This window comes from Homo sapiens, chromosome 4 (assembly GCF_000001405.40).
Source record: "Homo sapiens chromosome 4, GRCh38.p14 Primary Assembly".
NCBI lineage: Eukaryota > Metazoa > Chordata > Mammalia > Primates > Hominidae > Homo > Homo sapiens.
In genome coordinates this window covers 56,892,255-56,905,707 of record NC_000004.12, presented here as the reverse complement: position 1 = coordinate 56,905,707, position 13,453 = coordinate 56,892,255, and positions in this window count along the sequence as shown.

Genomic DNA, 13,453 nt, shown 5'->3' with positions numbered 1-13,453 from the left:
TTAATTATCATATGTTCTTAATAGTATTTTCTCTAGAGAGATTTCTTTCTTTTTTTTTTTTTTTTTTTTTTTGAGACAGAATTTGGCTCTTTTTGCCCAGGCTGGAGTGCAATAGCACGATCTCGGCTCACCGCAACCTCCGCCTCCCGGGTTCAAGCAATTCTCCTGCCTCAGCCTCCCGAGTAGCTGGGATTACAGGCATGTGCCACCACGCCAAGCTAATTTTGTATTTTTAGTTAGAGACGGGGGTTTCTCCATGTTGGTCAGGCTGGTCTCGAACTCCCAACCTCAGGTGATCCGCCTGCCTCGGCTTCCCAAAGTTCTGGGATTACAGGCGTGAGCCACCACACCTGGCCAATTATATATATATATATATATTATTTTTTTTTTTGACATGGAGTCTTGCTCTGTCACCCAGGCTGGAATGCAAAGGTGCGATCTCGGCTCACTGCAACCTCCACCTCCCGGGTTCAAGTGATTCTCCTGCCTCAGCCTCCCGAGTAGCTAGGATTACAGGCACGTGCCACCTTGTCTGGCTAATTTTTGTATTTTTAGTAGAGATGGTGTTTCACCATGTTGGCCAGGCTGGTCTTGAACTCTTGACCTCAGATGATCCACCTGCCTGGGCCTCCCAAAGTGCTAGGATTACAGGTGTGAGCCACCCCGCCTGGGAGTCTTGCTCTGTCGCCCAGGCTAGAATGCAGTGGCAAGATCTTGGCTCACTGGAACCTCTGCCTCCTGGGTTCAAGCAATTCTCCTGCCTCAGCCTCCCGAGTAGCTGAGATTACAGGCACCCGCTAGGACGCCCAGCTAATTTTTGTATTTTAGTAGAGATGGGGTTTCACTATGTTGGTCAGGCTAGTCTCGAACTCCTGACCTGAGGTGATCCACCCGCCTCGGCCTCCCAAAGTGCTGGGATTACCTGTGTAAGCCACCGAGTCCAGCCAGCATCATCTACTCTTGCTGCCGGTTGGACTCTGACCTCTTGTTCTGGTTCTGATAACTGGAATAGTGTCTTACTCATTATAGGCATCAACAGCTTGAGCCAGGGAGGTTTTCCCTTCATGCTGAGAAGGGAAGGAGGTGAACAAGAGAACTTGAGACTTGAGCTGGGCTCCTTCCTGCCTTCTTTTGGAGCCTAGATCACATTTGGAACCCGCTCCCATTTTCGTCCAATCCTAATGCCCTTCCCTGCTGTTTCTGCTCCCATTTTCGTCCAATCCTAATGCCCTTCCCTGCTGTTTCTGTCTCTAACATTTATTACTAACATGCTAGGTATTTTTATTTATTTACCCTACTTAGGAACTTAAGCTCCAGAAAGGCAGAGACATTTTTTTATCCCCAGCACCTATAACTCGTTAGTTGCTCAACAAATATTAGTTAGATGAATGGTTACAAAATCCTAGCTTGGTATCACAATCTCTCAAAGTGGGGACCATCCTTACCCATGTCGGTACCCAACGTTCAGTACCCATCACAGTCTTCCCTCATGTTAAGCATGAGCCTGCCTCCTTGAATCTCCCTAATAACTACTGTTAAATAAATTAATGCTCCTGGATCCCTGGTCTTGGGGTTCTACCCTCCTGGTGAAAATCTCCCTGCCTGCTCTTCTGCATATTGTATTCCTAGCACATTCCTGATTTCACGCATCAGCCTCTGGTTGGATATTCCTTGGTGATCATTAACAATCTGTTTTGGCCAGGTGCGGTGGCTCACGCCTGTAATCCCAGCACTTTGGGAGGCTGAGGCAGGCAGATCACCTGAAGTCGAGAGTTCTAGACCAGCCTGACCAACATAGAGAAACCCTGTCTCTACTAAAAATACAAAATGAGCTGGGCATGGTGGCACACGCCTGTAATCCCAGCTACTTAAGAGGCTGAGGCGGGAGAATGGCTTGAACCTGGGAGGCGGAGGTTGCGTGAGCAGAGATCGTGCCAGTGCACTCCAGCCTGGGCAACAAGAACAGAACTCCATCTCAAAAAAAAAAAAAAATGTTTCAACCTTAGGTATCGTTCCATTTGATGGGTTTAAATACAAGTTACATAGCCTATCAACTGCATTGCTCTGCCTCTCTCTTCTCTGGCCTTTACCATTGTCCTTCCTTCCAGAATTCTCCCTCCAAATGTTATGTAGGCCACAAAATGTCACAAATGCAAGAGATCTTAGAGGTGCAGGCTCTTGTTTTATATGTAAAAGGAGACAGGCCTACAAGCTTTTGGCTTGTCCAGGTTTGCACAAGTAGTTAGGGCACAGATGGAGGTAGGACCCATGACTCAATTTCCAGCCAGTCCGGTGCTCTTTCCATGTCTCTCAGACACTTTGTCCAGTCTTCTTTCTGCTCTACCCTGGCCCTATTCCCGAAAACATCTTTTAATCTTTGGGGCCTGATGGGCCACTATGTACAATGGCTTTAGAGATGTATATATTTGAGATAGGGGGACTTTTCAGATCCGCAATTCCATAACTCTGAAGCCTACTTTTTATATTAAGATTAATTACCTTCTGGGCCAGGCCCAGTGGTTCACGCCTGTAATCCCAGCACTTAGGGAGCCCGAAGTGGAAAGATCACTTGAGCCCAAGAGTTCGAGACCAGCCTGGGCAACACAGTGCGACCTCATCTCTAGTAAAAATAATTTTTTAAAAATAGCTGGTGTGGTGAGGTGTGCCTGTAGTCCCAGCTACTTGGGAGGCTGAGGTAGGAGGATTGCTTGAGTGCAGGAGATTGGGGCTGCAGTGAGCCAGGATCACACCACTGCACTCCAGCTGGGTGACACAGCAAGACCACGTCTCGAAAAAAAAAAAAAAAGATTTATTACCTTCTGGCTTGGGAAGCAGAAGCCCTTATTGTCTTCCATGGCATTTAAAACACTCAAGAGCCAACATTGACATGTTAATTTACAAAGCTAATCATCAATTTAGAGGAATATGGACTTGACTCAGAAGACAACTTCTGGCAACCTTTCCCTTCTTCCCAAGGAGAGGTTAAAACCTTCCCACATGAACTCCTAAAGTGCCATAAGTATACTCTTGCGCCTGTTTTCTTTCCCATGTCTTTCTCATCTGTCTGAGAGGGTCTAGAGACAAGAAACTGTGTTGTGTGTTCTCAACATGCTGATATTCCTGACACAGTAAATAAAATCAAACTTCTGGCAAAGTGTATCAACCCAAAGCTAAAGCCAGGCACTGGCTTTATGCATAAATGTTTCCTAGATTAATGAACCTGTACATTTTCCTTGTTTGTCTAAAAATTATCACTAAACCTACTAGAATGGCTAAAAGTTTAAAAAGCTAAGTATAAAATGCAACAAGGGCTGGGTGCGGTTCTCATGCCTATAATTCCAGCACTTTGGGAGGCCAAGGGGCGCAGATCACTTGAGGTCAGAAGTTCAAAACCAGCCTGGGCATCATGGCAAAACCCTGTCTCTACCAAAAATACAAAAAGTTAGGTGTGGTGGTGTGCACCTGTGATCTCAGCTACTCGGGAGGCTGAGGTGGGAAGATCACTTGAGCCCAGGGGGTGGAGGTTGTAGCAAGCTGAGATCGAAACACAGCACTTTACAGCCGGGCACAGTGGCTCCCACCTGTAATCCCAGTAGTTTGGGAGGGCGAGGCGGGCAGATCACGAGGTCAGGAGATCGAGACCTTCCTGGTTAACACGGTGAAACCCTGTCTCTACTAAAAAGTACCAAAAAATTAGCCAGGCGTGTTAGTGGGCACCTGTAGTCCCAGCCATTTGGGAGTCTGAGGCAGGAGAATGGCGTGAACCTGGGAAACGGAGGTTGCAGTGAGCCAAGATTGCACCACTGCACTCCAGTCTGGGCGACAGAGCGAGACGCCGTCTCAAAAAAAAAAAAAAAAAAAAACAATGCGACAAAGATACTGAGCACCTGGAATTCTCTCTCTCTTTTCCTCTCTCTCCCTCTTCTCTCTTGAGACAGGATCTTGCTGCATCACCCAGGCTGGAGTGCAGTGTCATGATCTCAGCTCACTGAAACCTCTGCCTCCTGGACTCAAGCGATCCTCCCCCTTCAGCATCCCGAGTAGCTGGGACTACATGTACGACCTACCACACCCAGCTAATTTTTTAAAATTTCTTTTTTGTGGAGACATAGTCTCACTATTTTTCAGGCTGGTCTTGAACTCCTGGGCTCAAGTGATGCTCCCACCTTGGCCTCCCAAAGTGCTGGGACTATAGGAGTGAACCGCCTGCCTAGCCTATGACTCTAATATTGCTGATGGAAATGCAAACTGTTGTTAACAACTTTGGAAATGCAACACTTTTGCAAACTTGAATTTTCTTATAGACACTTAGCATATAATCCAGTCATCACATTCCTAGATATTTACACAAGAGAACTGAAAACCTGTGGTACCTAAAGACCCAAATGGGAGGTGTCTAACAACTAGAAACAACCTAAAAGTAGTCTAGACTGTGAATGAAAAGCAAATTTGTATCTACCCATTCAATAGAATGATATTGTTGGGGAGGAAAAACTTTTCCTCTATCCTCTTAGGTTGTTTTTTTTTTTTTTTTTTTTGAGACAGAATCTCACTCTGTCACCCAGGCTGGAGTGTAGTGGTGCGATCTTGGTTCACTACAACCTCTGCCTCCCATGTTCAAGCGATTCTTCTGCCTCAGCCTCCTGAGTAGCTGGGACTACAGGCGCACACCACCACGCCCAGCTAATTTTTGTGTTTTTTGTGTTTTTTGAGATGAAGTTTTGCTCTTGTTGCCCAGGTTGAAATGCAACGGCATGATCTTGGCTCACCACAACCTCCGCATCTCCACTTGCGGGTTCAATCGATTTGCCTGCCTCAGCCTCCCGAGTAGCTGGGATTACAGGCACACGCCACCACACCTGGCTAATTTTGTATTTTTAGTAGAGACGGGGTTTCTCGATGTTGGTCAGGCTGGTCTCGAACTCCAGACCTCAGGCGATCCACCCATTGTCTCAGCCTCCCAAAGTGCTGGGATTACAGGCGTGAGCCACCGCTCCCGGCCTATCCTCTTAGGTTTAATCATTGGCGGCATGCAAATCAAATTGACAAAAGACATACTGGCAACATAAAAGACAAATTTTTTTTTTTTTTTGAGACAGAGTCTCTCTATCCCCAAGGCTGGAGTACAATGGCGCGATTTCAGTCTACTGCAACCTCCTCCTCCTAGGTTCAAGTGATTCTCATGCCTCAGCCTCTGGAGTAGCTGAGATTACAGGCACCCGGCACCATACCCAGCTAATTTTTGCATTTTTAGTAGAGAGCCTTTCACCATGTTGGCCAAGCTGGTCTTGAACTCCTGACCTCAGGTTATCTGCCCGCCTCAGCCTCCCAAAGTGCTGAGATTACAGGCATGAGCCACTGCTCCCAGCCCAGAAAAGACACAATTAATCATATATTAAATGTACATAAAAGATTTGATCAAAAAATGTGATTCACGGGGCAGTTGGAATCTGGGCCTATATACCAACTTAATAGAGGAAGGAGAGAGGGAAAAGGGCACTTAGGAGAAAACAAATGACTTTTTGGAAAGACAAATGGGCTTTAGGAGAATAGATGGGAGATATGATAGTTTTGTAACAATGCCTTTTAGATGTGGTGTGCAGACTTCTCTCTCTTCTTTTGTTTTTCTTCAAACCTTGCTTGGTTGAAAGTGACTTCTCATTAGTGGTGATAAGAGTCAATTGTCCCTGGTTGCTTTGCTGGGAAGGGATTTACAAAAACTGAATTCTTTTGGGAGGCTCTGCTTTCAGGGATATAAGAGATTTCAAGAACTCAGATGGCCTTCTACTCAAAATAATTTTTATGCCACAGCTGTGTATTCCGGACTCATTCAATAATAAAATAAAGTAACTACAGATACATGCAACCACATAGATGAGTCTCGAAAGCATTATGCTAAGGGAAAGAAGCCAGATGCAAAAGGCCACTTACCTCATAATTCCATGTGTATACCATTCAGGGAAAGGCAAGCTATGGAAACAAATCAGTGGTTGCCGTGGGCTGGTGGTAAAGGAAGAGGATTGACTACAAAGGGCACAAAGGAATTTTGGGGGGTGACATAATTGTTGTATTTACTTATTTATTTATTTATTCAGAGACAGGGTTTCGCTCTGTTGCCCAGGCCAGAGTGCAGTGGCATAATCATAGCTCACTGCAGCCTCAAACTCCTGGACTCAAGAGATCCTTCTCCCTCAGCCCCTCAAGTAGCTGGGATTACAGGCATGCACCACTCTGCCAGCGGGGTGATGTAATAATCAACATCTCAACTGTGGTGATGGCTACACAACTATATACATTTCTCAAAATTTGTAAAACTAAACTACTTACAGCCAGGCGAGGTAGCTCATGCCTGTAATCCCAGCACTTTGGGAGGCCGAGATGGGCGAGGTGGGGAGTTCAAGACCAGCCTGACCAACATGGAGAAACCTCATCTCTACCGGGCGTGGTGGCAACAAGGGCGAAACTCCATCTCAAAAAAAAAAAGAACCTGAACTACTTACAAGGGTAAATTTTACTGAATACAAATTATACCCCAATAAACCTGACTTTTAATAAATAGAACTATAGGCCAGGTGCAGTGGCTCATGCCTGTAATCCCAGCACACTGGGAGGCTGAGGCAGGTGCGTAACTTGAGGCCAGGAATTTGAGACCAGCCTGGCCAACACGGTGAAACCCCATCTCTACAAAAAATACAAAAATTAGCCGGGCATGATAGCACGGGCCTGTGGTCCCAGCTATTCAGGAGGCTGAGGCACAAGAATTGCTTGAATCCAGGAGGTGGAGGTTGCAGTGAGCTGACATCACACCACTGCACTTCAGTCTGGGCAACAGAGTAACACTCTGTCTCAAAAAATAAATAAACAGGCCAGGTGCCGTGGCTCACACCTATAATCCCAGCACTTTGGGAGGCCGAGGTGGGCAGATCACGGGGTCAGGAGTTTGAGACCAGCCTGGCAAACATGCTGAAACCCCATCTCTACTAAAAATACAAAAATTAGCTGGGCATGGTGGCCCGTGCCTGTAGTCCCAGCTACTCGGGAGACTGAGGCAGAAGAATCGCTTGAACCCAGGAGGCAGAGCTTGCAGTGAGCCGAGATCGCGCCACTGCACTCCAGCTTGGGCCACGGAGCAAGACTCTGTCTCAAAAAAAAATAAAATAAATGAAAATAAATAAATAAATAAACACAAAACTATAAACAATAGATACTAGTTTTTGTGTGAGTGTTTCAGGTATATGCATTGTTTTGGTAAAGTGTTCAAAATCCTTTCATAAAATGTTATATCTGAGAATGTCTTTCCTCCTGATACAGTCTCTATTAATTTATACTAAAAAGTCACTTCCTATCCTTAACCCTATTTATCCAGCTGGTATTTTTTTTTTTTTTTTTTTTTTTGAGAAGGAGTCTCACTCTGTCGCCCAGGCTGGAGTGCAGTGGCACGATCTCGGCTCACTGCAAGCTCCGCCTCCTGGGTTCACGCCATTCTCCTGCCTCAGCTTCCTGAGTAGCTGGGACTACAGGCGTCCGCCACCACGCCCGGCTAATTTTTCGTATTTTCAGTAGAGACGAGGTTTCACCGTGTTATCCAGGATGGTCTCGATCTCCTGATCTCGTGATCCGCCCGCCTCGGCCTCCCAAAGTGGTGGGATTACAGGCGTGAGCCACCGCGCCCGGCCCAGCAGGTATTTATTCAGCACCTTCTCTGTTTAAGGTGCAAGGGTGGTGTGGGGCTAGGAGGTGGGTAGAGAAGTATAAAATGGGTTTTGACTTTCACCAGCTTATTATCTAGTTGAGGAAATAAAATATATCCTGCTTTAGTAAAAGCACAGTCAGTAAGAGCTTTTAGAGTTTGAAGAATTTGCTTCCAGCTAGTAGTCTTGAGCAAGCTTCAAGGAGGAGGTGGAGTTTGTTTTGCCAGAAACGATGCAGCCATGGCACAGTTTACATGGGGAGAGTCCAAAGTACAGAGATCAGTTACCTTAAGGTCATCCCTAATGTGTCAGTCCATGAAAGGCAGGGTAACTGATCCTCGTGAAAGATGAAAAGGCAGAAGAATCAATGCAGGAAAAACAGCTAAACCAAGATGGCACACCAGCCGGAGTTGGAGCAAAAGAATACTGAAGATGAAGTGCACAGGATCAATGGGGTACAGACACCCTTTTACATATGGGTGTGGCTTGCTCCAAAGAGGTATTTAAAAAGCAGGGATCTGGCCAGGCACAGTGGCTCACAACTGTAATCTCCCCGAGATTGTGCCACTGCACTCCAGCATGGCGACAGAGTGAGACTCTGTTTCAAAAAAAAAAGGCTGGGCATAGTGGTTCATGCCTGTAATCCCAGCACTTTGGGAGGCTGAGGCAGGCGGATCACGAAGTCTGGACTTCAAGACCAGCCTGTCCAGTATGGTGAAACCCTGTCTCTACTAAAAATACAAAAATTAGCCAGGCATGGTGGAGGGCGCCTGTAGTCCCAGCTACTCAGGAGGCTGAGGTAGGAAAATCGATTGACCCCGGGAGGTGGAGGCTGCAGTGAGCCCAGATCTCGCCACTGCACTCCAGCCTGGGCAACAGAGTGAGACTCCGTCTCAAAAAAAAAAAAAAAACAGCAGGGATCAAGTCTCTCAGCAAAGCACAACCAATAGCACTACAATCCAATCATAAGCATGGATGTCACAGACAAACTGTAAACTAATGAAGTGCAAGAATTGGGATGAAGTTGAAGTCTAAATTCCTGGATTATACTAAGAAGAAATAACGTATTTCCATAAGAAGCTAGTCTGCATGTAATCTATAAAGACAAAAAAGAAGGTGAAACATTGAGCATTATTAGGCCAGGCGCAGTGGCTCACACCTATAATCCCACCACTTTGGGAGGCAGAGGCGGGTGCATCACTTGAGATCAGGAGTTCAAGACCAGCCTTGCCAACATGGTGAAACCCCATCTCTACTAAAAAATACAAAAATTAGCTGGGCATTGTGGTGAGTGCCTGTAATTCCAGCTACTTGGGAGGCTGAGGCAGGAGAATCACTTGAACCCAGGAGGCAGAGGTTGCAGTGAGCCCAGACCGCACCACTGCACTGCAGCCTGGGCGACAAGAGAGAAACTCTGTCTCAAAAAAGAAAAAAAAGAAAAATTGGACACTATTCACCTAAAATTGTCTAACGATTATTGAGACACTGAATCTGGTAGACAGAGATGCATAATGTAGGTTTAGGACAAGGATAGTTCACTCAGATTTTTCATGGCTTAGATAAATGTCAAGTTTTTGTTTTGTTCTGTTTTGTTTTTTTTGAGACAGAATCTCGCTCTGTTACCTAGGCTGGAGTGCAGTGGCACGATCTTGGCTCACTGCAACCTCCACCTCTCGGGTTCACACGATTCTCCTGCCTCAGCCTCCCAAGTAGCTGGGACTACAGGCGTGAGCCACCATGCCTGGCTACTTTTTGTATTTTTAGTAGAGATGGGATTTCACCATGTTGGCCAGGCTGGGCTCAAACACCTGACCTCAAGTGATCCACCCGCCTCTGCCTCCCAATTACAGGCGTGAGCCACTGCGACCAGCCAAATGTCAAGATTCTTTATCTCTCCTGACATGAAGTTCATACTCGACTGGGCACAGTGGCTCAAGCCTGTAATCCCAGCACTTTGGGAGGCCGAGGCAGGTGGATTACCTGAGGTCAGAAGTTCGAGACCAGCCAGGCCAACATGGTGAAACCCTGTCTCTACTAAAAATACAAAAATTAGCCAGGCGTGGTGGCGCAGGCCTGTGATACTGGCTACTAGGGAGGCTGAAGCAGGAGAATCGCTTGAACCCAGGAGGCAGAGGTTGCAGTGAGCCGAGATTGTGCCATTGCACTCCTGCCTGGGCAACAAGAGCCAAACTCTGTCTCAAAAAACCAAAAAAAGGCTGGGCTCGGTGGCTCACACCTGTAATCCCAGCACTTTGGGAGGCCGAGGGGGATGGATCACCTGAGGTCAGGAGTTCAAGCTGGTCAAGAGACTAGACTGGCCAAAATGGTGAAACTCCATCTCTATTAAAAATACAAAAATTAGTTGGGCATGGTGGCGGGTGCCTGTAATCCCAGCTACTTGAGAGGCTGAGGCAGGAGAATCAACTGAACCTGTGAGATGGAGATTGCAGTGAACCAAGATTGTGCCACTGCCCTCCAGCCTGAGCAACAGAGTGAGACTCTGTCTCAAAAAAAAAAACCACACAAAAAAAAACAGTCCCTACTCATCAAGTAACTTAATGGTTAATAATATGCCCTTCCCAGTATTTTGATTTCTAGCCACAATTAAGTCATTTATCAACTGGTATTCTAAATTATGCATCTCTCCCTACTATTCCGTTACGTCTCCTACCATATCACTTCCTTTTCTCACACTCACTAAACTCCAGCCACACATGCCAGCCTTTGCAGATGCAATCATTATTCTTATTGTTATTATTTTTGAGACAAGGTATCACTCTGTCACCCAGGCTGGAGTGCAGTGGTGGGATCTCAACTCACTGCAACCTCCACTTCCCAGGCTCATATGATCCTCTTGCCTCTCAACACGTGACACTGCCTGGCACGGTGGCTCATGCCTGTAATCCCAGCACTTTGGGAGGCCTGGGTGGGCAGATCACCTGAAGTCAGGAGTTTGAGACCAGCCTGGCCAACATGGTGAAACCCCGTCTCTACTAAAAATACAAAAACTAGCCGGGCGTGGTGGCGTGCACCTGTAATCCCAGCTACTCCAGAAGCTAAGGCAGGAAAATCGCTTGAACCCAGAAGGCGGAGGGTGTAGTGAGCCGAGATCACGCCACTGCACTCCAGCCTGGATGACAGAGTGAGACGCTGTCTCAAGAAAATAAATAAATAAAAATAAACACATGACACCCTGCCCAGCTAATTAAAATATATATATATATTTGTACAGACAAGCTATATTGCCCAAGCTGATCTTAAACCCCTGGGTTCAAGCAATCCTCCCAACCTTAGCCTTCCAAAGTGCTGGTATTACAGGTGCGAGCCACTAAGACTGGCCATATTATCATTATTTTAGAGACAGGGTCTTGCTATGTTGCCCAGGTTGGACTTGAACTCTGGACTCAAGGGATCCCTCCACCTTGGCCTCCCAAAGTGTTGGGATTATAGGTGTGAGTCACCACACCTGGCCAAGTTGTTAATTTTGATAAACTATTTTATTTATTTATTTGTTTATTTATTTATTTGAGACGGAGTCTCATTCTGTCACCCAGGCTGGAGTGCAGTGGCATGAACTCAGCTCACTGCAATCTCCACTCTCCTCGGTTCAAGCGATTCTCCTGTCTCAACCTTCCAAGTAGCTGGGATTACAGGCTTGTGCCACAATGCCTGGCTAAGTTTTGTATTTTTAGTAGAGACAGGGTTTTGCCATGTTGACCAGGCTGGTCTCAAACTCCTTAGCTCAAGTGATCTGCCTGCTTTGGCCTCCCAAAATGCTGGGATTACATGCATGAGCCACCTTGTCTGGTCCTAAACTAACTATTTTAGTTGGTTCACAGTGACATCTTCCATCAGCAAAAATTTCATAGAACAAATAGCTAAGTTATTTTTGCCTAATCCGAGAATTGTTTAGCACAGGAAGAGGAAAATGTTTGTTCACAGAATATAGCACAGAGACAAGAAAGTTAGTTTCAGTTCTCAAGGCAAACAATTTTAAAATACACATTAAGGGATTAGATTAACAATTCATTGGAGGGATGTGGTGGCTCATGCCTGTAATCCCAGCACTTTGGGAAGCCTAGGCAGGTGGATTACTTGAGTCCAGGAGTTCAAGACCAGCCTGAGCAACATGGTAAAACCCAGTCTCTACAAAATATACAAAAAGTAGCCAGGTGTGGTGATGTGTGCCTGTAGTCCCAGTTACTAGGGAGGCTGAGGTGGTGGAAGGATCTCTTGAGCACAGAAGGTCAAGGCTCCAATGAGCCATGATGGCCCCACGGTACTTCAGCCTGAGCCTGGGTGACTGAGCAAAACCCTGTCTCAAAAAAAACCCAGAAACCATAAAACAAAATAACCCATGGTACATCAACAAGAAAAAAATATTATCAGCCATTAAATAGGACAATTATTTAAAATACTAAAAAATATGTTTATGTGTTTATAATATTAAATGATCAAAACAGAAGACAAAATATTAACTTATGTGGCTGTGATAATATCAAAATATGTGAGCATGTAGAAGGAAGTATGCTAAGAAAATAATGCTAGGATGGTGGCGTGATCAGCATGTCAGTCAGGGTTTTATTAGGAAACAGAATTCTTTCAAAGTACTTAAAACAGGGAATTTGAGGCAATTAATTTTTTACGGAGGTGATATGGTTTGGCTGTGTCCCCACCCAAATCGCATCTTTAGTTGTAGCTCCCATAATCCCCAAATGTTGTGGGAAGGACCCACAACATTTTGTGGGAGGTAATTGAATCTTGGGGACAGGTTTTTCTGTACTGTTCTGGTGATAGTGAATATGTCTCAAAAGATCTGATTGTTTTATAAAGGGCAGTTCCCCTAAACACACTCTCTTGCTTGCCACCATGTAAGATGTACCTTTGCTCCTCATTGGCCTTCTGCTATGATTGTGAGGCCTCCCCAGCTATGTGGAGCTGTGAGTCCATTAACCCTCTTTCCTTCATAAATTACCCAGTCTTGGGTATGTCTTTATTAGCATCATGAGAATGGAGTAATGCAAGAGGTGATTGAAGTGCTGAGTATCCAAGCGGGGCAGTCAAGGAGTTGGGGACACCAACAGATGCTGGAACCACCCCAGGCCTGTTTACCAGGAGGGGGAGCCATGGAAGAGCTGGAGCAAATGAGGAAGTAACTGCCCTTGCTATAAGACACTGCCCAGGACAATCTCTTGCCAGTGCTTCCCACTGACAAAATCCAGCTTGATGCCAACTTACATGAAGCCTGGGAAATAAAGGTGGCAAAGACCAGCCCTGCTCAGATTCAGAGGAGTGCAGAGACCAGATTTGAGGCCACATTGACAGCTTTTCATTTGCTTTAAAAAATATTTATTTAGGCCAGGTGCGGTGGTTCATGCCTATAAACCCACCACTTTGGGAGGCCGAAGCGGATGGATCACCTGAGGTCAGGAGTTTGAGACCAGTCTGACCAACATGGGAGTCTCTACTAAAAATACAAAATTAGCCGGGCATGGTGGCACATGCCTGTAATCCCAGCTACTCGGGAGGCTGATACAGGAGAATCACTTACCCCTGGGAGGCAGAGATTGTGGTGAGCAGAGATCGCGCCATTGCACTCCAGCCTGGGAGACAAGAGTGAAACGCCTTCTCGGGGAAAAAAAAAAAACATTTGTTGGCAAAAAAAAAAAAAAAAGATAATGAAAAAATATCTGGAATAACTTTTTTTTTTTTTTTTTGAGATGGAGTCTCGCTCTGTTGCCCAGGCTGGAGTGCAGTGGTGC